The following is a 24,686-nucleotide window of genomic DNA, read 5'->3' as shown; positions in this document are numbered from 1 at the left end:
CTGCAACCTTCGCCTACCGAGTAGCTGGGATTACAGGTGCATGCCGCCACACTCTGCTCTTTTTTTTTTTTTTTTTTTTTTTTTGGTATTTTTATAGAGAAAGAGTTTTGCTTGTTGCCCAGGCTGGTCTCGAACCCCTGACTTCAAGTGATCCACCTGCCTCAGCCTCCCAAAGCGCTGGGATTACAAGCTTGAGGCACCGCACCTGGTGAGTTTCTTATTGATTAGCTTCCTAGGCTTACCCTTTGTCCCTCCAGTAGGATTAAGAAGCAACTCAGTGGGCCCTGGTTGGGGAATCCATTGGATTCCTTCCATGGAGGTGGGTCTGCCACTGTGAAGCTCCGTTGCACACTCACCCACGCCCAGCTCACACCCATACTCACCCACACTCACCCACTCAGAGACTCCCACTCACAGCAGCCCTCCCTGCCCAAGGACAGGGCACACAGTGGAGTTCTACACACTTTTATTGGAGGGGCAGGCCTGATAGCAGGCTCACAGCTGGTGAGGCTGCTGATGTGTGCGCCCTTCCAGATGCCCCAGGATCCACAGGCTGTGTTGGGATGCACCTTCCCCATTCCCAGCTGACTACAGTAGTACAGAAAAAGGGCCCCTCTGAGTGAGGCTGCAGGCAGTGCTGGCCAAGCAGGGCTGTGTGACTGAACGTGGCCGCTGACTCAGAACAGAGGACATCCTAGGGCAGCAAGCGAGGATGGGCAAGAGTATTGGGCATGCCAGCCACCACCAGCCAAAGCTGCTTCCGTCCTTACTCTCCGTGCCACAATAGGTAGCGTGTGCATGAGCCTTGGGCCCAGGGACAACCCCCTCACTCTCCATCTTGGTTGGGTTGGATAAGCCCATATTCCACTGCTTTGTCCAGGCAGGCTGCAGCAGCCCTTGTGACAGGGCTGTGGTCACCCTTAGCTAGCACTGACAAGATCTCCATCATCTCACTCTCCATCAGGGTGCTGGCAATCTCCCTCGAGGCCTCCACCATGTTCAGCACCACCACAGCACCCCGGTGCTGCAGCTCCTGGTTGGAGCTCAGAAGCAGGGCCTGCAGGATCTCCAGCCAGTGTGTGGTCTGTGAGAAAAACAGGGTAGATATGACCCCTGGGCAACAGGCTCAACCTTGGCAAGGGACACACCCACACACCCTAGGACTGCCCCCTTCAGCTGCTGCTGGGAGTTCCTGGTCCGTCCCTCCTCCCCCACTGAGAAGAGGCACTGACCACTTGGGGAATGCGGCTGCAGAGCGTGGGCCGCATGGAGGTAAGCATGGCCAAGCCCCCGGCAGCTGCCCGCTGTAGCAGCTCATCATCCTCTCCACTGTACAGCACCAGCAGCTTCAGTCGGTCATTGCCCTGGGCTTCGAAGAGGTCCTGCACCTGTGGCCAGATGTGAGGAGTGGACCAAGTCAGTTGGGTGTAAAGCCCAGCCAGGGCACAGGTACCTCTGCATCCCCGCCTGTCATGAGCACCCAGACCAACCCTCACCTCCTTGCTCATGGCCAAGTTACACATGCACTCCGTGGCTGCCCGGCGGATCATCTCATGCTCCTCAAACATGTAGCCTTCTATCATGGGCACAGCCTTCTCCTTCAGGATCTTCTGCCTGCAGGGCCACAGGAGGAAGCAGCAGGGATACGGTTTGGATGTTTTCCCTTCTAACCCTCATGTTGAACTATAATCCCCAATGTTGGAGGTAGGGCCTGGTGGGAGGTGACTGGGTCATGGGATGGGTCCCTCATGGCTTGGTGCTATCCTCGTGATAGTAAGTTCTCGTGAGATCTGGTTATTTAAAAGTGCGTGGCATCTCGGCCGGGCGTGGAGGCTCACGCCTGTAATCCCAGCACTCTGGAAGGCCGAGGCAGGCAGATGACTTGAGGTCAAGAGTTCGAGACCAGCCTGGCCAACATGGTGAAACCTTGTCTCTACTAAAAAGACAAAAAAAAATTAGCTGGGTATGCTGGTGCGCGCCTGTAGTCCCAGCTACTCAGGGAGGCTGAGGCAGGAGAAGCGATTGAACCCAGGAGGTGAAGGTTGCAGTGAGCCAAGATTGCGCCACTGCACTCCAGCCTGGGCAACAGAGGGAGACTCCATTTCAAAAAAAAAAAAAGTGTGTGGCACCTCCCCCGACTGTCTCTTGCTCCTACTTTCACCATGTGATGTGCCTGCTCCTGCTTTGCCTTCTACTATGAGTAAAAGCTCTCTGAGGCCTCCCCAGAAGCTGAGCAAATGCCAATGCCATGCTTACACAGCCTGTAGAGCCAGGAAGCAATTAAATCTCTTTTCTTTATAAATTACCCAGTCTCAGGTATTCCTTTACAGCAATGCAAGAACAGACTAACACCGGCAGCATCATCAGAGTTTCTACATCTGCTCCACCCCTGCACCCACACCCTCATGCAATCAAGTCCTGGGCTGAGGATTTCCCTTGGCAATGTCCAAGGACCCTCTTGCACCAGGTATGAACTACAGTGCTTCTTAGCCTTCTAACCAGGCCTAGGAAATAGCATAGGATTGTGGGAAATGCTCAAAATTAGGATGTAGAAGACCAGGGTGGTCGTGATGGTGAGGCTAACACCTAACATTTGAGGGTTTTTGTTTCTGTGTTTTTTTGAGGCAGGATCTCACTCTGTCACCTAGGCTGGAGTAAAGTGGCATGATCACAGCTCACTGCTGTAGCCTTGACCCCCCCAGGCTCAAGTGATCCTCCTGCCTCAGCCTCTCGAGTAGCTGGGACTACAGGTGCACGCCACCACACCTTGCAAATTTTTTTTCCAACTGTTAAGTTCAGGGGTACATGTGCAGGACGTGCAGGTTTGTTACACAGGTAACCATGTGCCGTTGTGGTTTACCGCACAGATCATCCCATCACCCAGGTATTAAGCCCAGCATGCATTAGCTATTCTTCCTGATATTCTCTTTAATTTCTTTTTTAAATAGGGACGAGGTATTGCTACACTGCTCAGGCTGGCCTGAACTTCTGGGCTCCAGTGATCCTCCTGCCTCATCCTCCCAAATTGCCAGGATTACAGGTGTGAGCCACCACGCCCGGCCTCATTTGAGTATTTACCCTGACCAGGCACCTGGATCATCTTACTTAATTCTCACCATGGCCCTATACTAAAGGTGCAAGTGTGATCATCATCACTACTGTTTTGCAGAATAGGAAACGGGCTAAGTAATGAGTAATATGTTCAAAGTCACAGTTAGTAATAAAACTAAAACATGCTGGCCAGCTGCAGTGGCTCACACCTGTAATCCCAGCACTTTGGGAGGCTGAGGTGGGCGGATCACGAGGTCAGGAGATCTAGACCAGCCTGACCAACATGGTAAAGCGCCATCTCTACAAAAATACAAAAATTAGCCAGGCGCGGTAGCACGTGCCTATAATCCCAGCTACTCAGGAGGCTGAGGCAGGAGAATCGCTTGAACCTGGGAGGCAGAGGTTGCGGTGAGCTGAGATCATGCCACTGCCCTCTAGGCTGGGTGACAGAGCAAGACTCCGTCTCAAAGAAAAAAAAAAACTAAAATATACTGATATGGCACAATGCTAGGGGCCAGGTACCCATGTAGTAAGTACTTTTAGGTGTATTTTCTCATTTTATTCTCCTCATCACTATGCCATGAGGTAGGTACTATAATCATCCCATTTCACAGAGGGAGAAACTGAGACAGAGCAGTTAAGTAACTTGCTTGAGGTTGCCCATTTGCAATCAGGGAAGCGAGGCAGTCTGACTCTAGAGTCTGCCGTGCCGTGCTGCCTCTTGGCCTGTCGCCTCCTCTCTAATGATGCGGAGCAGTCACTGTGAGGCTCACAGAAGCCCATGACCAAGGAGTGTTTCCCAATGTGTAAACTGCTGTGGGGGATATTCCGAATCCCGATGCCTGGTCCAGGCCCCGCAATCCCAAGGGACCTTACCGGAGCCTCTCGCTGATCCCAGCCAGGTTTGTTAGGGCCATGAGCGCCTCGAAGTTCTGCAGGCCTGAGCAGTTGAGGTGCAACAGGGAGACGAGGGGCCGGACCACCTCATAGATCTGCAATGTGCACCCCACCTGTCAGGGGTACTTGCCGCAGCCCCCACAAGCCCCACCAACCCTGCAGGGAGAAGCCCACCCCCAAGAGAGTACTGCTGTCTCAGGCTGTCCTCCCTGCCCCAGGCCTTGACAAAGCTGAAACTTCCTGCTGGTCCCAAAGGGGAGCTACAGCCCAGCCCACAGGCCATCAGGGACAGAGGGAGTGGAAAGGCCGGGGCAGGAAGACACGTACCCGCTCGCCAGGGAAGGTCATCTCCGGGTTGGAGGTGATGGTGAGCTTGGCAAGGGCCTGGGCTGCCTTTGTCTGCCCCACGTCCGTGCCTTCCAGGGCCAGCGGGATCAGCGCCTGTAGGAACAAGCCCGTCACTGCTCAGGACATCCCTGGGAGTAAGACCCCGACCATCGGGCTCCCCAGCCCTGACCGTGCCACCCTCACCTTCCTCCCTCTCCCCAGGCTTGACTCCCTGTGCAGACCCTCTGCATCCAAACACTTCCTGAAACACCTAATAAGGGCTGGACATGGATTGTGCTGAGCACCAGGGCCATGGGGGTAAATGAGACAAAGGAACAGTAGAGCCTAGGACCTTCACAGGCACCAGTGTGGAGGGGCCAAGGAGCTTGCCTGCTTCCGCGTCACTCTCTCAGCGGGACGGTGTTCCTCTGGCCATTAATGTTTTTCTGTTCCATATCTAACACCCAGCTCTGGCGTGGCAGCTGCTGAGTCATGTTTTATAGGCTGATGGCTCAGCCATCAGGAAGGGGTGTGTAAACCAGCTTACCCTGCCGCCTCCCTGGGCAACCACAGTGCCTCGGTCCTCTACCTCTTCCACTAAAGCCAAGAAGACCCTGTGGGGAGAAGGCGGTGGTGGGCAGGCAGCTCTGGGACTCTGGCAGGCAGACGCTGCACTCCTAGGCTCAGCAAAGACGGCAGCCACGCAGGCAGCCCCCGTCGCTCTAAGAGGCCCACAGCACTGGAACCTGCACCCTCTGGAGCCACATCTGCAGCCCTGAGGCTCAGGAGTTGGGAAAGGTTGGCTCCTACCAAGGCTGGCTCACCTGGAGAGCAGCTCTCTGCAGGAACTGGTCAGCACAGGGCTCTCCGTCTTCACCATGCACACCATGGCCGACACCACACCCGCTGCCAGCAGCTTCTTCACCCGAGCCCGCACGAAGCTTGGCTTGTCCTGGGGGAGGAGGCAGCTTAGGAGAGGGGCCTAGGCTGACTCACAGAGAAAGGGGGACCCTTCTCACAGCAGTAATTGAGGAACTGGGAAATAAAACAGCCAGACAAAAGGAAACAAACTGGCTTAAAAGGGAGGCTGTTGGCTGGGCACGGTGGCTCACACCTGTAATCCCAGCACTTTGGGAGGCTGAGGCAGGCGGATCACGAGGTCAGGAGATCGAGATCATCCTGGCTAACACGGTGAAACACTGTCTCCACTAAAAATACAAAAAATTAGCCAGGCATGGTGGCGGGCACCTGTAGTCCCAGCTACTCGGGAGGCTGAGGCAGGAGAATGGCATGAACCCGGGAGGCGGAGCTTGCAGTGAGCCGAGATCGCATCACTGCACTCCAGCCTGGGAGACAGTGAGACTCCATCTCAAAAAAAAAAAAAAAAAAAAAGGGAGGTTGTTCTGCTGTGGATGCCCTGGGTTAGCTGTCCCCATGGTGGGGAACCCTCTAGCCCCTCTGGCGGCCCCTCACCTTGGGGTGCTGCTCGGGCACATGCTGCTTGGCATACTTGGCCAGCTCCACCATCTTGGGGTCGGGCTCCTCGTAGTCATAGCTGTTGGTGCAGTTCACCAGCGCTGAGGCCACCGCAAAGAGCACTGACCTCTCCTCCAACTGCCAGGACACAGAGGAATTCACATGGGCATCCCGGGGCAGAGCAGTACTCAGATAAATGCTGCCCAGGCCCAGGCCCCCAATTCCACCCTCAGCTGGGACCCTTGGGTACAGGATGAATTCGGGAAACTCCCAGGCCCCAGACTTTGGGAGCTTACAAACTTGACCTCCCCAGCTCCTCCAAGAAGAACGTCCTTGCTAACACCACTGGTGCTGGCCAACATGCCCACACTACACAGAGCAGCCACTCAGCCACCAGCCCTCTTCCCTGGGGTCAAAAGACCCCATTGGCCAAGCCCTGCCGAGAAAGCCTGGTAAGGTCTAATCCTAGACAGTGTCCCCAGGCTGACGGCAGGAACCACAGAGCTACCCTGCTGAGCTGGAACAGAGCTTTCAGAGCAGCCGCATCCTCCACAAACTCTTCCTTCACGTCGGCATCAAAGGTCAGGTAAGCCAGGCCCTCCACTGCCCAGCGCCGAGTGCCTGCGTCGATCTGGTCATTGCACAGCCACCTGGGGACACGCAGGATAGTGGACGACCCTCAGGATTGGGGGTACGGAGGGGTACACCAAGGCCAAGGGGGAAAAACCAAGGGTTTGGGCATCCCCTCAATGTACAGAAGCAGTTCACGTACCAGGATCCAGACTGCAGCCCCTGCCTGAGCCAGAGAGCAGGACGGAGGAGGCCCCAACCCCCACCCAGACCCCTGTGTCTTGAGATCTACCCCACAGGTGGGGAACCACAGCAAGGCCAGATGACTCACTTTCGACACTGCTTAGCCAGTTTGAGAGTGGAGCCTTCAGCAAACTGCTTCATGCTGAAGTCAGTCCCTCCAGCCGAACCGAGCTTACAGAGTCCCTGGAGGAAGAGGGCAAGACCAGTTGGCCTCTGGGGAAGGAGGCAGGAGCTGAGCTCCTCCACACCTGGCTTGGACTCCCTCCCTGGCACTCTGCCATGGCCCCCTGGAAGCTACACAGACAAATCAGCACCCTCTCCCTCCAGACCACCACCTAGAGCATGTGGCAAGAAAATCAGCTACTGGGGTGGCCGCATGACACAGCATCTGCAGACACTGATGCGCTGGCCGCTGGACAGTCGTGGGCCCCACCCCTTCCCAGGCCACACTGAGAATGGCTCTGTTTCCTTCCATGTCGCACAAAGAAGCCCTCTGCAGGTGGAGTTGAGAGGCATGTGGGGAGAGGACAGGTGCTTCAGCCACAGCCAAATCCTTATGGGATGGAGAAATCCAGGACTGAGTGCCCCAGGGAGGAAGACCAGCTTCCACAGGGTGCACAGCCACAACAGGCTCATGGAGGGCCAGGTAGTCCCCAAACCCCCAAACCACCAGCTCCCAGGAACACTGCATGACCCCTGCAGGCCCAGTCTTAAGCCCCATGGAGGGAGGAGCCATGCCGATGTCTCTCACCACAAGAAAGCCCAGAATCTCGTTCATTCATCCATTTATTTTAGAGAGGGTCTTGCTGTGTTGCCCAGGCAGGAGTGCAGTGACATGCGTGACTCACCACAGCCTCAACCTCCTGAGCTCAAGTGATCCTCCTGCCTCAGCCTCCCAAGTAGCTGGACCTATAGGCATGCACCACCAAGCCTAGCTAATTTTTTTGGCATTACAGTATTCCTTATTTTCATCTGGAGTGTGCTGGGGCCACACCCTGCAACACCGGCTGGACCAGGACCCCTGCCTGGCTGCCTGCCCACCCACCCCAGGCCCACCGTCTCACCACTAGCGCCCGGATGCGGATGCTGTCCTTCTCGCTGCACTTATATAGGTCCTTCAGCAGCGAGACACCATTGGCAGTGATGAATGAGGCCCGCTTAGCCTTGCCGGCTGCATGGATCAGAGCCTCCACGGCCACCAGCTGCTCCTCCTCCTGCTCAGAGGCACACAGAGCAATCACACTCTCCATGACACCGCTCAGCTCCAAGGCCCGGTTGCCAGCGTCACATGGGCCCTGCAGGAGGCAGGACACCGTCTGGATGGCCCGTAGCTTCCCGGCCAGCCCTTGGCCCTCAAACCAGCTCCTGAGGGGCACAGGGTGACAGCCGTCACACCAAGGCCAACATAAAGGGACTCTTCTTCCCTCCCTTCCCCTCCACTGGCCAGGCACCTGCACTACTTGGGCAGAAACAGCAGGAAAGCTGCCAATGGGAGGACTAGGACGTTTCCACCTGGACAATAATGGCTGATTTTCTTTATCGACTTTCACTCAAGCCTTCCCTGACATAGTATCTAATACAGGTTACTCCCATACCACCAGTGATGTCCCTTCCTGGACTTAAGCTCTGAAATGATTCGGCTTATTTCATAATTTATCATCAGTTTTCTCCCCAACAGCTGTAAGCTCCTTTAATTTTTTTTCTTTCTTTTTTTTTTTTTTTTTTGAGACAGAGTCTCACTCTGTCCCCAAGGCTGGAGTGCAATGGCGTGATCTCGGCTCACTGCAACCTCCACCTCCTGGATTCAAGCGATTCTCCTGCCTCAGCCTCCCAAGTAGCTGGGATTACAGGCACCCACCACCACACCTGGCTAATTTTCTGTATTTTTAGTAGAGATGGGGTTTCACCATGTTGGCCAGGCTGGTCTCGAACTCCTGACCTAAGGTGATCACCCACCTGCCTCCACCTCCCAAAGTGCTGGGATTACAGGTGTAAGCCACCACACCTGGCCTATAATCTCCTTTAAGAACAAGGACTGTCGCCTGGACGCGGTCCTCATGCCTGTAATCCCAGCACTTTAGGAGGCCAAGGCGGGCAGATCACCTCAGGTGTGAGGTCAGGAGTTCGAGACCAGCCTGGCCAACATGGTGAAACCCCATCTCTACTAAAAATACAAAAATTAGCCAGGCGTGGTGGTGGGTGCCTATTATCCCAGCTACTTGGGAAGCTGAGGCAGGAGAATTGCTTGAACCTGGGAGGGTGGAGGTTGCAATGAGCCAAGATCATACCATTGTACTCCAGCCTGGGCAACAAGAGCGAAACTCCATCTCAAAAAAAAAAAAAAAATCCCAGCACTTTGGGAAGCCAAGGCAGGCGGATCACCTGAGGTCGGGAGTTCGAGACCAGCCTGACCAATATGGAGAAACCCCGTCTCTACTAAAAATACAAAATTAGCTGGGTGTGGTGGTGCATGCCTGTGATCCCAGCTACTCAGGAGGCTGAAGCAGGAGAATCGCTTGAACCCTAGAGGCGAAGGTTGTGGTGACCTGAGATCATGCCATTGCACTCCAGCCTGAGCAACAAGAGTGAAACTCTGTCTCAAGAAAAAAAAAAAAAGGACTGTCATGTTTCATCTGTGTGGGAACAGAAGCGTAGGAAGTGTTTGGTAAACCCAGTACGTGCTTGATGGCGTTTGTTGCATTATTGGAACATTGACTTGAGAAAGAACCTCCCTGCGGAGGCCACTTTGGAGCAGGAAGTGGGCCTTGGGGCCACTTTCCCTTTGTTCAGCCTCCAACTAGTCCTCCCCAAGATTACTGTTTCTGCTGGAAACCTTTCATTTCTGCCCCTCCTCAAGGAGTCAGAACTTTTTCGCTAGAATCCCTGGCAACGGGAGGTGAAACAGACTTCCTTACTTGATGTAGTTTTCACAAAGTCTGTGGAAATTCTCCCTCTCCGCATCACACTTGAGGTCATCAAAGAGCTTGCTGAGGAGAATAGAGGCGCTCATGCGGCTGTTTGCGGTCACTGCGAGCTCCCCAGGAGGGTCCTGTAGAGAGCCCCCCACTTCCAAAATCTTTTTCAGACCTGTAAAGACACCCCGCTTAGACAGTAGAACACTAGTTCCAACCCCTACAAGTAAAAGAAACAGGCTTCCTAGGAGATGTGGAGAAAAGCAAGACAAGAAGGCTACAGAGTTCTGACAACTGTGTCCAGGGCAGCCCGGAGAATCTGCTTAGCTGATCTGCTACCTAAGGGAGGCGGCTGTAGGATCGGGAAGGACCTCAGAAGTGAGGCCTGCATGCCAGCCCTGCCCCTGGGGCCAAACGCTCTGGAGCTTTTGAGGTTCCTCATCTGTAAAACTAAGGGGAAAAGAATATCCACACCTCATAGGACCATTGTGAACACGATACCCACACCTCGTAGGACCACTGTGAACACAATAGACACACCTCGTGGGACCACTGTGAACACGATACCCACACCTCGTGGGACCACTGTGAACACGATATCCACACCTCATAGGACCATTGTGAAAGGCCCTGCTCATGCAAGGCCTTTGCAAAGCTTTTCTTATTTATCTTTTTTTTTTTTAAGACAGAGTCGCCCTGTTGCCCAGGCTGGAGAGCAATGGCGCGATCTCGGCTCACTGCAGCCTCCGCCTCCTGAGTTCAAGTGATTCTCCTGCCTCAGCCTCCAGAATAGCTGGGATTACAGGTGCATGCCAGCATGCCTGGCTAATTTTTTGTATCTTTTAGTAGAGACGGGGTTTCACCATGTCGGCCAGGCTGGTCTCAAACTCCTGATCTTGTGGTCTGCCCACCTCGGCCTCCCAAAGTGCTGGGATTATAGGCGTGAGGCACCACGCCCAGCTCTTATTTATCTTTTAGGGGAAAAGAGAGATGAATTGATATATCTACCGTTATTTTTTCCTCTGAGTATAGAAGTAATACATGCTCACTCAAACAAAAAAAAAAAAAAAAAAAAAAAAACAGGGCACAATGGCTCATGACGGTAATCCCAACACTTTGGGAGACCAAGGTGGGTGCATTGTTTGAGGTCAGGAGTTCGAGACCAGCCTGGCCAACATGGTGAGATTCTATCTCTACTACAACTACAAGAATTAGCCGGGCATACTGATGCGTGCCTATAATCCCAGCTACTCGGGAGGCTAAAGCAGGAGATTTGCTTGAACCCGGGAAACGGAGGCTGCAGTGAGCTGAGATCGCGCCACTGCACTCCAGCCTGGGCGACAGAGTGAGACTCTGTCTCAAAAAAAAAAAAATACAGAAAGCTAATCCAGCCTCTCTGCTAACCTGCTTGCAGGCCCGCTCAATGTGCATGTATGTGCACACGCATATGATAGAAGAGTCTAACTTTGAGCCCCCTAAGGGTAGCTCTTGTGTCTAGAAGGTGTTGTAAGAGCTGAATCCCATTGCTCTGGAAGATCTTCTCAGCTCCAGCATCCTCCTGGGCCACAGGACGCACTTCAGTGCAGACACGTGGCTGGAGATAATCACAACTTTTCTTTCTTTTTTTTTTTTTTTTTTTTGAGACAGTCTCCCTCTGTTGCCCAGTCTGTAGTGCAGTGGTACAATCACAGCTCACTGAAGACTTGACTTCCCAGGGTTAAGTAATTCTCCCACCTCAGCCTCTGGAGTAGCTAGGACTGCCGATGCACACCACCATGCCCAGCTAATTTTTTTTAATTTTTCATAGAGACAGGGTCTCGCTATGTTGCCCAGGCTGATCTCAAACTCCCGGCTTCAAGTGACCCCCTGCCTCTCAAAGTGTGTCATCCACCATGCCTGGCCCCACTCACAACTTTTCTTATTACTCCTAAGAATAAACAAACTTCAGCTGCTGAAGCAAGTTTTTGTGAACTATATCACCTACCTTGGTCGATGACCCAGAGGGTGAGGCTGTTGTTGGGGTCCTTGAGAGACTTCCGGGGCACCGCTTTAATCAGGAGGGTCAGGGCATTGTCTCGGCCTTGGCCAGAGACCCCCACCTCTGTCAGCAGATCTAAGAGGTTACTGATGAGGACCTTCAGCTCCCGGGCAGGATCTGGCAACAACAAGAAGACATCAGTGGGCTCCACAGCAGCCCAGCCCAGTTTGACCCTTCAACTTCTCCAACAAACCAGGGAGACACAGGGAAGGGGGGATCCGCATCCCAGGCTCCAGACTGAGCTCCAGCTTTGTCCTGAGGCACCTTGGTTGCTGAGAATCTAGAGTAAAATAATGTCACCAAACCGTATTCCAAACAACCTGCAGCTGCAAGTCTGGTCCCCAAAAAACTGGCCTGGCTGGCTCAGCCCCATCCCTTCCATGACAGTAACGTCCAAAAGACCCCAGACCTGCTTCCACTCACCCACAATGATGGCACCTTCTTTGCCTCGGAAGCCTTTTTTGACACCTTCCTTGAGGGCATCAAACATAACCTGCAGCAGGTGGCAGGCAGCCAGGGACACAGCCTGGCTTTCCACGCCCAGGATGGAGACTACTCGCCGAGTTCCCAGTATGCTCAGGGTTGCCACTGTCTGGGGTGGGAGAGGTAAACAGAAGGAAGCTTCCAGTTGTTGAAGGGCAGCCACAGAGATCCCTAACTGTGAGTTAGAGGATACGGCCAGAAGGAGAGAATTGGGTGGAAGGCCCAGCTCCAGGTGAAAACAACACAGAATGGATGGCATGACCCAGGGTAATGGCAGGATAATTTTGTTAGAAAGATTTCCTAAAGGAGACATTACACGGCAATGCCCTACTACCTCTCCTTGGTGCCAGAGAAGACATAGTATACTGCAGCCCTGGGAGCAGCTGCCTTAGCTCATGCCTCCCCAAGAAAAAGACCTATACCTAGACGAAGCTACCTGACCACCAGGCTTAATGGTCTAGTTCTTCCCCAGTCTAAACCCTGAGGTTCTTTCCACACCCTGGGGATGTGGACGTCACGTACACGGAATGGGCCCGTGAGACCTCTCCACCCAGTTTCTTTCTTTTTTCTTTTTTTTTTTTTTTTTTGAGACGGAGTCTTGCTCTGTCGCCCAGGCTGGAGTGCAGTAGCGCGATCTGGGCTCACTGCAAGCTCCACCTCCCAGGTTCACGCCATTTCCCTGCCTCAGCCTCCTGAGTAACTGGGATTACAGGCGCCCGCCACCGCACCCGGCTAATTTTTTGTATTTTTAGTAGAGACGGGGTTTCACCGTGTTAGCCAGGATTGTCTCAATCTCCTGACCTCGTGATCTGCCCGCCTCGGCCTTCCAAAGTGCTGGGATTACAGGCATGAGCCACCGCGCCGGGCCCTCTCCACCCTGTTTCTAAGCTGGAGAACCCTAGAAGGCCTGCTTGGTCCACTGAGCCCAAATCCTGACTGCTTCCACTTAGCAGCTAAGTGTCCTTGGCCAAGACTGTGAACTGGAATGGACCGGAAGGCAGGAGGGAACAGAATGCACATGCTTTTAACAGTCTTAGCCTTGGGAGACCCAGAATGCAGCCCAAGCTTAGCCTAAAGAGATTTCATTGACTATTTCACAGTTTCACCCCTATCTAGGAATTGTGGGCTCCTCTAAAAGCAACCAAGGGCCTAGTCTTTGGTCCCCTCTCCCCTGGAGCAAGCCAGCTCAGGTAAGAGCTGGGGGCATGGACTTCACCACACTGGCCCAGGAGCAGGACTGTTATTGCTGCACTGTCCATGCTGGGCCACCACCATCCATGCTGAGAATCATGTCGGGATCAAGCCCTACGTGTCCGGTCACTGTCTCGATGGTAGATGCTGTGGTGGCCAGGCACATTCTGGGCCATGAGCTTGCTTGTGCCATATGGACATTGAAGGAGTCAGTGACCAATGTGTTTTTGTGAGTTGGCTGCAGGAAAGCTGGGGCTCACACTTGTAAGCCCCCTACAAAGCAAGTGCTTGGGGTACCCCAAGGCTGTTTTTGCTCTTTCTACCCCACTTCATCCTAATTTATGTTGGTCTTTTTCACGCCATTTTTATTTTTTCTCTCTTGTTACATGTATCTCCTTGTACTCTGCCTTTTCTTTTTTTGTTGTTTTGTTTTGTTTTGTTTCTGAGATAGTCTCGCTCTGTCACCCAGGCTGGAGTGCAGTGGCGCGATCTCAGCTCACCACAACCTCCACCTCCTGGGTTCAAGCAAGTCTCGTGCCTCAGCCTCCTGAGTAGCTGGGATTACAGGCGTGCACTACCATGCCCGGCTAATTTTTTTATTTTTAGTAGAGACAGGGTTTCGCCTTGTTGGCCAGGCTGGTCTTGAACTCCTGACCTCAAGTGATCCACCTGCCTCAGCCCCCCAAAGTGCTGGGATTACAGGTGTGAGGCACCATAACCTACCTAAGTTCTTTTTAGAATAAGGTAAGGGGTAGAGGGTGGAAGAGTGGATGGATGGATGGACGGGCAGATGGGCGGATGGACAGATGGGTGGATGGAGGAATGGATGGACAGACAGACAAAGGGACTGAAGCTGTAACCAGCCTCTCCACTCCACCTACCCGTGACTGATGCTCAGAGCAAATGCCAACCAGCGTACGCAGAGCCGCCAGCATGAGGTCAGTCTCTCCCATGTCCAGTAAACGTTGCAAGAGCTGAACCCCATTACTCCGGAAGATCTTCTCCGCTCCAGCATCCTCCCTGGCCAGCACCACCAGGTTCTGAGAAGCCTGCGTCAAAGGAAGCACATTATAATGTTGACACTGCACACGGCATAGGATGCAGCACTGGTGAGCAGGGGCCCCGAGCCCTGGACCTCTCTGCTTCCACTTCACAGTTGAGTGACCACGGCCAAAAAATAACCTCTTTGAAGTTTAGCTTCCTCTGTAAATAGAGGGAAGAGCCTTCTCTCGGGATTGATGGTTAGAGCAAATGAGTCCCCAGCAGAGCCTGAGGGGCTGGGACAGTGCCTCAGTTACCTCTGTACACCCAGTTCCTGGCACAGGGCGTGGCCAACAAGGTACTCTGTGAACACTGGTTCTCTTTCCTTGGTTCACGCTAAAGCCCCAGACCCTCAGAGCTCCCATCCAGGCCCCGTGAGCCCAGCTGCACGATTGGAGGAGCGGCAGAGCAAGGCAGCAGTGGCTTCGGGGGCCTATGGATGGGTGGCTCTAGTGGGAGCTCACTCACTGACTCAGCCCAGGGCCTATACCTTTTGCTTTTTCTCAGTGCCCTTCTCTTCTGGGTCCAACAGTATCTGAAACATCTGTTCCACTTTGGCATCCGTCGAGGACATGTATCGCACCTAGACAAACCAACAAAGCATGGAACAAATCACGGCTCTTGGCCAGAGACATCACACTCCCTATTCATTTGTCTCCAGCTCCTCACTCTGGGAGGCACAGTAAAGATGTCCAGGCTCAGGGCTAGCACCTAGCTACCCTGGGCAGGAAGAGACTTGCCTGGCAGTGCCTCCTAAATTTCCCGCACCTGTTTTTCTTTCTGAGCTATTTCCTGCTTGGGCAGCAGGGGCTGCGCCGATGCTGGAGTGCCTTTTCGGAGGGGAGGTATCCTGTCAGCTACGAGGCAACCCACTCCCAGTGGTGCCATCTACATTGTGGCAGCGTGAATGGGCTTCCCATGGCACTGAACTCAGCATTTATACCTCCTGCCAGGGAGCTGGCAGATCGTGAGGTAGTTGCTAACACTTCCTTTAGCTCCAGAATTCTCTTTTCACTGTTTTAAAAATAATCTGAGCTGGGCGCAGTGGCTCCCGCCTGTAATCCCAAAACTTTAGGAGGCCAAGGCAGGTGGATCACCTGAGGTCAGGAGTTCAAGACTAGCCTGGCCAACAAGGTGAAACCCCATCTCTACTAAAAATACAAAAAATTAGCCGGGCGTGGTGGCAGATGCCGGTAATCCCAGCTACTCGGGAGGCTGAGGCAGGAGAATCACTTGAACCCAAGATGCGGAAGTTGCAGTGAGCCGAGATCACGCCACTGCACTCTAACCTGGGCAATAACTGTGAAACTCTGTCTCAAAAAAATAAATAAATAAAATCTGAAGCCAGGCACGGTGGCTCACGCCTGTAATCCCAACACTTTGGGAGGCCGAGGTGGGCAGATCACCTGAGGTCAGGAGTTTGAGACCAGCCTGGCCAACATGGTGAAACCCCGTCTCTACTAAAAATATAAAAATTAGCCAGGTGTGGTGGCGGGTGCCTGTAATCCCAGCTACTCGGGAGGCTGAAGCAGGAGAATCGCTTGAATCTGGGAGGTGGAGGTTGCAGTCAGCAGAGATCCACTGCACTCCAGCCTGGGTGACAGGATAAGACTGTCTCAAAACAAACAAATAAATAAATAAATAAATAATCTGAATGGGGAAGATCATCCTAGGCCTACTCCCCCACCCCCCAGAGTCCTGGGCATAGATGGTGGCACAAGCCTAGCATGTGGACCACCCGCCTTCCTCTCTTGCATCCATGGCAGCCATGACTAACCAGTCATGGCACGTTCCCCTGCTTGGCTCAGGCAATCTGCTTCCTAATTCTTCTCAACATAGGACTCTGGGCAGCCACTGCCAATCAGAGTTGGCATTGAGAGAGGAAACCTATTTGCTTTCCCAGGCTTCAACATTTCAGTGAGGTGTCTGCCATCATGTTATCTGCTTCCACTGTGTCAGCATTTTAACGTCAAATTATCTGGCGAATTTGAGCTTGGTTGTAGCTCATAATGGTCTTTAGATTCTTTTCTCCTAATTTAAAAATATACGTATTTTACACAATTTCTCTTTATTAAAAAAATATGAACAGGTGATGCAGTCTCCTTTGGAAAGCCCTCTCAATCCCATTCCTTTCCCCAGGGGTCACCGTGTTATCATTTTGATGTATATCTTTTAAAATATTTTCCTGAAAAAATAAAGAAACAAAAATGCATATTTGGCCCAGTGCCATGGCTCACGCCTGTTATCCCAGCCAGTTGGGAGGCTGAGGTGAGTAGATCCCTTGAGCCTAGGAGTTCAAGACCAGCCACCTGGGCAACACAGTAAAACCCTGTCTCTACAAAAAATATAAAAATTAGGCGAGCGTGGTGACATGCATTTGTCCCAGCTACTTGGGAGGCTGAAGTGGGAGGACTGCTTGAGCCCGGGAGGAAGAGGTTGTACTCCAGCATGGGTGACAGAGTGAGACCCCGTCTCAAAATACATAAATAAATAAAAATAAAAATAAATTTAAAAAATAAAATATTTTCGGCTGGGTGCAGTGGCTCACACATGTAATCCCAGCACTTTGGGAGGCCGAGGCAGGCAGATCACAAGGTCAGGAGCTCCAGACCATCCTGGCCAACACAGTGAAACCGCATCTCTACTAAAAATACAAAAAATTAGCCGGGCGTGGTGGCAGGCCCCTGTAGTCCCAGCTACCTGGGGGACTGAGGCAGGAGACTCACTTGAACCTGGGAGGCAGAGGTTGCAGTGAGCCAAGTTCGCACCACTGCACTCCAGTGTGGGCGACAGAGCAAGACTCCGTCTCAAAAAAAAAAAAAACAATTATTTTCCTTTGTATTTACATACCCAAGTGTACCCACAGAAAAAATATAGCATTGTTTTGCTATGTAGGGGATCATTAACATAAATGATATTATACTATATGTGTTATTGTATATTTTTCTTCTTCTTTTCTTTTTTGAAAGAGACAGGGCCTCACTCTGTCAGCCAGGCTGGAGTGCAGTGGCACGATCATAGCTCACTGTAACTGCAAAATCCAGGGCTCAAAGGACTCTCCTGCCTCAGCCTCACAGGTAGCTGGGACTACAAGGGTGTGCCACCACACCCAGCTAACTTTTTAGGTTTTGGTAGCAACAGGGTCTCACTATGTTGCCCAGGCTGGTCTCAAACTCCTGGCCTCCAGTGATCATCCCATCTTGGCCTCCAAAAGCACTGGGATTACAGGCATGAACCACCATGCCCTGCCTATTTTGCTTTGTTCATTCAACAAGTGTCCCAGAGCTTCCCATTTCAATATGTGTGTATCTACCTATTCTCAGTAACTATATAAGAGTCTGTAGTAAGGACATTACCCATTTATTCAGCCATTCCTCTATGGCTGGGCATTCAGGCAAGTTCCAAGTTTTTCTTACTACAAAAAAGGCTGAAATAAACATACACATGTCTACTTGTGCACGTGGACAAGGTTTCTCTGAGAGAAACAGCAAGAAGTAAACATATGGGATCACAAGATACGCTCATTTGAAATTGAATAGATATGCTAAAGTACTCTCGAAAAGAGCTGTACCAATTTATACCCCTCCAGCAGTCATCAGAGAGCCCTTGGCCCCCAGCCTCACCACTGATGTGTCTGCCTCTCTCCTTCTCGAAAAGTGTACAAACTTTTAAATATCTGCCAGACAGACCTCCAAATCAACAGTAATGTGCTGTCATCTTAATTTGCTTTTCCCTGGCCACAGGCAAGGTTCACTTGCCACCGGGATCTCGTCTGGAGAACTGTGTCTACACCCCTGGCCCAGACCCCTTCACCACCAGTCAATGCTTCCACCTCTCTGGGTCACTCACATACCTTCTCCTGAATCTGGCCCCCGATGTTCCGCAAGGCCTCCTGGAAAACTTTGTTCTTGGGCTCCAAGCTCACACATCTCTGCAGGTCAAGGACAGCCTGGTCCAGGCGGCCCAGCTTCTCTAGGGCTTGGCTCCGCCGGTAGAGTGCTTTGACATCCCCACCATCCTTTTCAATGGCTGAGCACAAACAGGAGCGCTGTCAGCACCCATGAGGCCACTGTCTCCAGGCAAGAGCAGTAGGGAAAGATCTCGAGGAAAGGCCAGAAGAAGGTGGGGGGGACGAATGTGGGGCTCGGTGCTTCAGCCTCAGAAAAGGTGAGGGTAGCTGCAGAAAAGGAAAGGCCCGAGGCAGTGGGAAAGAAAGAAGGCAGATGTGTCTCTGGGGCCAAAGGAGGAGAATGTGACGGTGCAGCGGTCCCAGAGTCCTTGCCCACCACAGAAGCCCTACAGCTCCACACCAGGGCCCACCATTCCCCTACCTTTGGATGCCTCTGTTTCTGCTTTGTCGTAATCTTCCTGTAAGAGAAAGACAGGAGCCTGAAGGAATGGTCATCTCCCTCTCGGGGCACTAACCAGGCAGCAGGGGTACTCTCGCTCTCCAAGGTCACCCGATCCCCCACCACCCTGAGGTGCAAAAAACATCTGGCAAGCGGGGATGGCCTGGGAGCGTGAATGTCCAGCTGGGGCCCAAGCATCAGCTTAGATGGGCGAACCGGGGCCCGGGCGGGCGAGGGGAAGAGCGCCAGGCTCCCTCACCAGCTTGAGGTGGCAGGCGGCCCGGTTCCGGTGCAGAACGGCCTGGTCCTGGGGCGTCGCGTCCAGACCCAGGGCCTGAGTGTAGGCCGCCAGGGCGCCCCCGTAGTCTCCACATTTGAACAGCTCATTGCCCTCCTTCCGCAGCTGCTCCACTGAGCTGGCCTGTAGAGAGAAAGGGGGCGGAAACGTCGGAGGGGGTTCGGGGCAGAGCCCGGGAGCTAAGGGGAGAGGAGAGGAGGGATCGGGGCGAGCCTCATGGATGGGGAGAAGGAGGCCAGGGATGGTCAGGGCGGGTGCGAAGGGGTGATGGCGCGGGGGTTGGGTACGCACCCCGGGGGTGGCCGGCCGGGGCTCGGGGGTCCCTGGACCACTCACAGTCATCGCGGAGAGGTTGTCTCGTGCCCGCGCAGGCGCAGTCTCTGGGGCGGGGCGAGTCTGGGTTCGGGACGCCACCGGCAGCTGCCCCGCCCCACTCTTGCGTCGGAGGTGGGGTCAGAGAGGGGCAGGGCTAAGGAGGGAGCGCGCCCGGGCAGGGGCGGGGCGCTTGGCTCTGGATCGCAGGTGCAGGCAAGCTCCGGGCGCACCTAAGCTGTCCCCGCAGAGACCTGCAGGGAGCTCGCGGCGGAGGACCCAGAGGGAGGCCTGCGGTGGCTCCAGCCCAGACTCCGGCCCCGACCGCAGCAGAAGTGCACGAGGTCTACGGTCATCAGGGTCACAACCAGTAGGTTGTAGAGGCCCAGCACTAGGAGCGGGCCTGGGCCCCTGCGGGAGAGAAAAAGTATCTGGATCCCGGCCCCGACCGCGCTCTCGCTGCTGCGCTCTGTGGGGGGTACAGAATCCCTGGGAGTCCGGAGAAAGCTCAGGACTCCCTCCCCAAATAAGTGTCGTCTTACATACACACATTTGCATACGAATTTAGGAGCTCATCCTAGAGCCACCCATGGGCAGATTCAGGATGGCTCCCCATTACCAGCTTGCACAGCCCCCTGAACTTCTCCTTTGTAATTGTAATCATGATCTACATGATTTTCTGTTGCGGTCTGTCCCTTCACTAGTCTGTAAGTTACAAGCCTACCACCCCATAATTTAGGAACAGAGCCCCAGATACTGGAACACCCTGTCGATGTTCCAGTGGCTCTGGGGTTGGAGATCTCACCTGAGGATGGGCGGGGGCGGAAGAGCGGACAGATTGACTTGGTACAGGGCCTCAAATTCAGCCCGGGTGCAGCAGGAGCCCCCTGCAGCCTGCAGGTGGCAGCAGTAGGCTTCCTCTGGAGAATCAGACAGACGAGGGCAAAAGAAACCAGGGTAGTGACGGCCATGGACATCCCGGGTGGTCTGGCACAAGTGAGGGTGGTGGACCAGAGCTGAAGAGAGAGGTGGGGGTGCTAGAGACAAGCAGGAGGGGCCTTTCCACAGCTCACTCCACCCCTACTGGAGAGTAAAAGAGATCAGCCCCTACCAGAAGAAAAGATGCCCTTCCACCCATCCCCATCAGTTCCAGTTCCCAGGAATAGCCCATAGCACCAGAGGCAGGTGGGCCACAGGGGTAAGTGCTGTACCTGAGAGAGAGGTTGGCTGGACAAGGGTCACCCAGCTGAAGAGCAGCAGTAGCCCCACAGATAGGCCTGTCAGCAAGGGGCCTGACCTTCTCTGGATGCCCATGAGAGTTCACTACCACCTCTGTCCTGGTCCTGGGAACCCCAACATCTCTCTTTCTAGGCCGTGACTGCAGACAATAAGGAAATAAAAGTCAAAGCCCCAAGGCCCTTGGGCACCATTAATACGAGCCTGAAGCTTCTCTATCACAGGCTTTTAGAGAGAGATGACAGGGACTGGGTTTCTGTCTCCTGTTGGAAAACGTGGGGCCTGCATTGCCAAACTGCTGAAGGAGAGAAGGCTCAAAGGACTAGAGGACAGAATGAGGGATGAGAGAGCAGCTGAGCCATTAGTATGAAGAACAAACAAGCATTTACAGCCAAATATGTTTCTACCCATTCTCCAACTTCCAGGCTGCCATGGAAGCTCTGGGAATTCTGACCCTCCTATTTCAGGTCCCAGAGACCTCAGTTCCAGCATGTGGGGCTTCCCTCCCTAACCTCTGCTACGTGGCAACCACCAAGACTAGCTGAAAACCAAGGGTGACTCCTTTCATTAGCCTTTCCCCTGAGCCTTATCTGCCCCAGCTACCAGCCAGAACACAAAAGCTACATGTCTGATTAGAGTATACTTAGCTAATAGGGAACCCCCTCTCACAGAGAAGTTCTATGGGGATCACCAGGTCTCTCTTACCCCTCAGCTGCCCCTAAGGCAGGGAATTTCTCCAGAAGGCCACCAGCCAGCAGAATTAAGTGTTATTCCAGTGCCTACCCAGGCCTGACAACATCATGCTCCCAGGACAGCAGTGACAACACTCATCACCCCAGGGGCCCACAGAAGATGCCTAGAGACTGAAATAGGAGCTCTCATAGCATAAGAAGACAAGGCAAATTTCATCTGCAACACTGAGGACAAACAAAGGCAGTTCCTGCAGAAACGTCACAGCTACCTGGGAGCCTAAGTCTGAAGCAATTAGGCAGGGCTCCCAGGGAAGGCTCTGATTTTTCAGGTCAGGCCCTAGGGTCTCCTGGAGGGTCCAAAGGTAGACTCCCCTGCCCACAGAACCTGGCCCATCCCTACAGGGAGAACTATTTTTAGAACACTTGGAGAATTTTCAGAGCTTTTACAGGTTGAAGATGGTTCTTGGGGGGAGCTTCTGGGAGAAGCTGTCTCTGACTCTGAGGGTGTGGGGATTGTTCTTTCTTCCCGCTCCCATAGTCCCCTGAGCCTTGGCCACCCTGGATTCAGAGCACTGTGAGGCCACTGCCTTATTTCTTGTCTGTCTTCCTCTTTTCCACAGACTGTGGGCTCCCAAAGAGCCAGGCTTATGTTCTTCTTGCACCCCCAACAGAGCACACTGAGCTGGGGGCTGCGATGCTGAAGGCAGCTGTCCACATCACTTGCTCTCTGCGCGGGCCGGTCAGCTCCAGAGGAATTCATCTGGGGCAGGCCCAACTCGGCCCGCTGAATTAGCCTCCACGATCCCCGGGCCTCCCCGGCGCCAGGGGGCGCTGTAAACGTTCCGTCCCTGCCCCTGCGGCCGCAGTCGTCGGCCCCATCCGCGCGATGGGCTCTGAGGCGGCGCAGCTGCTGGAGGCTGCCGACTTCGCGGCTCGCAAGCACCGGCAGCAGCGGCGGAAGGACCCCGAGGGGACCCCCTACATCAACCACCCCATCGGTGGGCGCGTCGGCCGCGGAGCGCCGGCTGCGGCACCTGGGTGGTGGGGACTGGGAAGGAAACGTGGGGGGCGTGCACCTCATTGAGCACCTGTTTTGTCCCAAGCTTAGTGCGATATACCGTTTAAGCCTCATAACAATTGGAACGGTAGGCATGATCGTTCCCTTTGTCGGTTGGCTCCCAGAGGGTAAGGTACTTGACCAAGGTCACCCAGCTAGTCAGAGTCCACAAGGGGCCACATCTGGCTCTCCAAAACCCACAACACACCGCCTTGGGACTACCTCCGACCTGACTTCCTGCTTTGCCCCTCCCCGTCAGGTGTGGCACGGATCCTGACCCACGAGGCGGGAATCACTGACATTGTGGTGTTACAGGTAACTTTCCCCCTTCTCTGCCAGGAGCCTGGGATGGGGATTAGGGGCCCCATTCAGCAATGGGCAACCCTTGGCTGACATCTCAGGGCTGAGTGGGAACTTGTCCCCAGGCGGCCCTGCTCCATGACACGGTGGAGGACACAGACACCACCCTGGATGAGGTGGAGCTACACTTTGGGGCACAAGTGCGGCGCCTGGTGGAGGAGGTAACAGATGACAAGACTCTGCCCAAGCTGGAGAGAAAGAGGCTGCAGGTGGAGCAAGCGCCCCACAGTAGCCCCGGGGCCAAACTGGTGAAGCTGGCAGACAAGCTGTACAATCTGAGGGACCTGAATCGCTGCACCCCAGAGGGTACGCTTTCGTATGGGCTGTAAGGGAAAAGGGAGGGGGATGCCGCCTTCTGAAGACACATGTTGGTCAGTTCCCCTGAAAAACCCTGGGCATTCTTAATTCCCAAATTAATCCTACTGGACCACTCTTTGATCTTCTTTCATACAGTAAAAATACAATAGCTGGGCCAAGGGGAAGTTTTCAGGACAGCTCATTCCATCAGGAACTCATGGCCTTGAACCAAGCTTGCCAGGAAGTGGGGAAAAGGCAGTGCTTTCCTTGACATCACGCTAGCAAGTTTCTGTCGACTCTTATGCAGGATGGTCAGAACATCGAGTCCAGGAATACTTCGAGTGGGCAGCGCAGGTGGTGAAGGGGCTTCAGGGAACAAACCGGCAACTGGAAGAGGCTCTAAAGCATCTGTTCAAGCAGCGGGGGCTGACAATCTGATCAGTGCTTGAAGCTATCCAGAGGCACAACTCCAGCCTCGTTCAGGCCGGACAGGATTCATACGCCATCTTTTCTGTGTCTCCTGAGCTCCCTCCATCCTTCCCAGATATTAGAGGCCAAAAAAAGACTTGCATTTTTTCTCAGTCTGAAGGTCTCCTGCTAACTAAGCTGAGCCCCGCGTGGTGGGAATCAGATGTACCCATCCATTTCTGATGCACTCACCGCCTCTCCCCAAGTCTTGGGTCTGTTTGCTATTTTGCATGGTGGGATCTCTGGCCCCTCAGGGACTTGAGATTATTTAAGTACTAGTTCCTAACACGTTCTGGAAAATAAAAATAACTCTGGGTTAAGGTTTAAGCTGCTGCTGCTCCTTCTCCAGCCTCCGACTGGTGGGCTGCATATCTTTCCTTCAGCAAAGCAGGACTAATTGTGTGTCCCGGAGTCACCTCCCTCAGGTTGCGGGCCTCAACCCCTCCGAACCTGGCTTCCTTGTCAGTGACATGGGTTGTGTAATTATCAGGTTAGACTGTGACGTGCCTGATGGAGCCTGACACATAGGTGCTCAAGAAATGGTAGCAGCCTTTCCCGTTAAGAAAGTTGGAAGGGGGCCAGGCGCGGTGTCTCTCGCCTGTAATCCCAGCACTCTGGGAGACCGAGGCGGGCGGATCACTTGAGGTCAGGAGTTCAAGACCAGCCTGGCCAGCATGGCGAGGCCCCGTCTCTACTAAAAATACAAAAAAAAATTAGCCGGGCGCAGTGGCTCGCGCCTGTAATCCCAGCTACTCAGGAGGCTGAGGCAGGAGACTCGCTTGAACCCGGGAGGCGGAGTTTGTACTGAGCCGAGATCGCGCCACTGCACTCCAGCTTGGGTGACACAGCGAGACTCCGTCTCAAAAATGAAAAAAGAAAAGACGTATCGGAAGGGAGTGCCGCCCGCTTACTGACAACCACTGCTGGGCACCGGAGAGACCCCAGCAGCAACATGATTGGGCCGGTGGGGGATTCCGGTTCCCCAGTACCTCAAGCCGCGCGGGAAACTCGGTGACTCGCAATCCCCTCGCCCTTCCGCATTGCGGGTTACTTCGGTTGTTAAGTGACAGGGACTTCCGGGAAGGCCCGGAAGTGGCCCGGGGCTGTCCGACCCCGGGAGCCCGGCGGTCGGCGTAGGGGAGGCGGTGGAACTTTGCTCGGTGGCCATGGGGAGGGATTGCCCGGTGGTGGTTTTTCAGTCGTTGCTGAGCAGCTGAGGTTTATTTTTATGTATTTTATTCTGCATCCAGTCATCCATTAAAGCCAAAGTTTATTAAGTTGTCTGGAAAAGCGATCATCTTGGGTACGAGGAAATTGTTAGGTCAAAGCTGTTCGACTACGATAGTTGTTTGCCCAAGTGAAGGCCCCAGCGGAGGGCTCTGCGAAAA

The 24,686-nt window shown here is 53.8% G+C and overlaps 2 protein-coding genes and 1 long non-coding RNA gene across 11 annotated transcripts, besides 6 other annotated features; 2 read left to right on the top strand and 1 right to left on the bottom strand.

The window, feature by feature from the left end:
- On the top strand, window positions 50-2,305 carry RCCD1-AS1 (RCCD1 and UNC45A antisense RNA 1). Its single transcript, NR_170325.1, has 2 exons — window positions 50-208; window positions 1,338-2,305. It is a non-coding gene; the product is annotated as an RCCD1 and UNC45A antisense RNA 1 (long non-coding RNA).
- On the bottom strand, window positions 450-24,363 carry UNC45A (unc-45 myosin chaperone A). 7 transcript variants are annotated; one of them, XM_047432844.1, is made up of 23 exons: window positions 24,288-24,363; window positions 20,400-20,566; window positions 19,994-20,204; window positions 19,168-19,599; window positions 18,838-18,999; window positions 18,561-18,597; window positions 18,083-18,258; window positions 14,720-14,812; window positions 14,070-14,237; window positions 11,938-12,106; window positions 11,461-11,631; window positions 9,480-9,651; window positions 7,629-7,929; window positions 6,653-6,747; window positions 6,260-6,401; window positions 5,749-5,889; window positions 5,100-5,227; window positions 4,823-4,889; window positions 4,276-4,389; window positions 3,928-4,043; window positions 1,497-1,614; window positions 1,233-1,388; window positions 450-1,084 (listed from the first exon to the last, which is right to left on the bottom strand). In XM_047432844.1, exons 4-23 carry the CDS (start codon window positions 19,216-19,218, stop codon window positions 827-829), a joined length of 2,835 nt encoding a protein of 944 aa, XP_047288800.1. In that variant the 5' UTR covers window positions 19,219-19,599; window positions 19,994-20,204; window positions 20,400-20,566; window positions 24,288-24,363; the 3' UTR covers window positions 450-826. The 7 variants fall into 7 exon arrangements, with proteins under 7 accessions (XP_047288800.1, NP_001034764.1, NP_001310548.1 ...); NM_001039675.2 differs by having other exon boundaries at window positions 19,213-19,599; NM_001323619.1 differs by lacking the exons at window positions 19,994-20,204; window positions 20,400-20,566; window positions 24,288-24,363 and adding an exon at window positions 19,913-19,923 and having other exon boundaries at window positions 19,168-19,256.
- Window positions 802-1,302: an enhancer, noted in NCBI's record as "H3K4me1 hESC enhancer chr15:91496471-91496971 (GRCh37/hg19 assembly coordinates)". NCBI's record gives its function as "activates a minimal SCP1, AML or CMV promoter by ChIP-STARR-seq in primed H9 embryonic stem cells {active_cell/tissue: H9 hESC(primed)}" and the evidence as "EXISTENCE:reporter gene assay evidence [ECO:0000049][PMID:30033119]".
- Window positions 19,043-19,442: a silencer, noted in NCBI's record as "silent region_6833". NCBI's record gives its function as "represses an Ori minimal core promoter by ATAC-STARR-seq in GM12878 lymphoblastoid cells {active_cell/tissue: GM12878}" and the evidence as "EXISTENCE:reporter gene assay evidence [ECO:0000049][PMID:35858748]".
- Window positions 20,073-20,172: an enhancer, noted in NCBI's record as "active region_10105". NCBI's record gives its function as "activates an Ori minimal core promoter by ATAC-STARR-seq in GM12878 lymphoblastoid cells {active_cell/tissue: GM12878}" and the evidence as "EXISTENCE:reporter gene assay evidence [ECO:0000049][PMID:35858748]".
- Window positions 21,797-21,846: an enhancer, noted in NCBI's record as "active region_10104". NCBI's record gives its function as "activates an Ori minimal core promoter by ATAC-STARR-seq in GM12878 lymphoblastoid cells {active_cell/tissue: GM12878}" and the evidence as "EXISTENCE:reporter gene assay evidence [ECO:0000049][PMID:35858748]".
- On the top strand, window positions 21,974-24,575 carry HDDC3 (HD domain containing 3). Of its 3 annotated transcripts, none has more exons than NM_198527.4 (4): window positions 21,974-22,114; window positions 22,433-22,488; window positions 22,599-22,839; window positions 22,987-23,622. In NM_198527.4, exons 1-4 carry the CDS (start codon window positions 22,003-22,005, stop codon window positions 22,998-23,000), a joined length of 423 nt encoding a protein of 140 aa, NP_940929.1. In that variant the 5' UTR covers window positions 21,974-22,002; the 3' UTR covers window positions 23,001-23,622. The 3 variants fall into 3 exon arrangements, 2 of the variants coding, with proteins under 2 accessions (NP_940929.1, NP_001273380.1); NR_104447.2 differs by having other exon boundaries at window positions 21,994-22,157; window positions 23,138-24,575; NM_001286451.2 differs by having other exon boundaries at window positions 21,994-22,114; window positions 23,138-24,575.
- Window positions 22,597-22,826: an enhancer, noted in NCBI's record as "active region_10103". NCBI's record gives its function as "activates an Ori minimal core promoter by ATAC-STARR-seq in GM12878 lymphoblastoid cells {active_cell/tissue: GM12878}" and the evidence as "EXISTENCE:reporter gene assay evidence [ECO:0000049][PMID:35858748]".
- Window positions 24,457-24,686: an enhancer, noted in NCBI's record as "active region_10102". NCBI's record gives its function as "activates an Ori minimal core promoter by ATAC-STARR-seq in GM12878 lymphoblastoid cells {active_cell/tissue: GM12878}" and the evidence as "EXISTENCE:reporter gene assay evidence [ECO:0000049][PMID:35858748]".

The sequence above is a fragment of the Homo sapiens genome, chromosome 15, assembly GCF_000001405.40.
Source record: "Homo sapiens chromosome 15, GRCh38.p14 Primary Assembly".
NCBI lineage: Eukaryota > Metazoa > Chordata > Mammalia > Primates > Hominidae > Homo > Homo sapiens.
This window is presented reverse-complemented; position numbering and strand designations above follow the sequence as displayed.

Bases quoted from the DNA above. Each gene is read 5' to 3' on its own strand.
- UNC45A (XM_047432844.1), bottom strand. From the start codon at position 19,218: ATGACTGTGAGTGGTCCAGGGACCCCCGAGCCCCGGCCGGCCACCCCC. The intron at 18,598-18,837 runs GTGAGGGAGCCT...TTTCTCTTACAG, and splicing joins CCGCCTGCCACCTCAAGCTG to GAAGATTACGACAAAGCAGA. The intron at 4,390-4,822 runs GTAAGCTGGTTT...TTGTTCCTACAG, and splicing joins TTGCCCAGGGAGGCGGCAGG to GCGCTGATCCCGCTGGCCCT.
- HDDC3 (NM_001286451.2), top strand. From the start codon at position 22,003: ATGGGCTCTGAGGCGGCGCAGCTGCTGGAGGCTGCCGACTTCGCGGCT. The intron at 22,115-22,432 runs GTGGGCGCGTCG...CCTCCCCGTCAG, and splicing joins CTACATCAACCACCCCATCG to GTGTGGCACGGATCCTGACC. The intron at 22,489-22,598 runs GTAACTTTCCCC...ACTTGTCCCCAG, and splicing joins CTGACATTGTGGTGTTACAG to GCGGCCCTGCTCCATGACAC.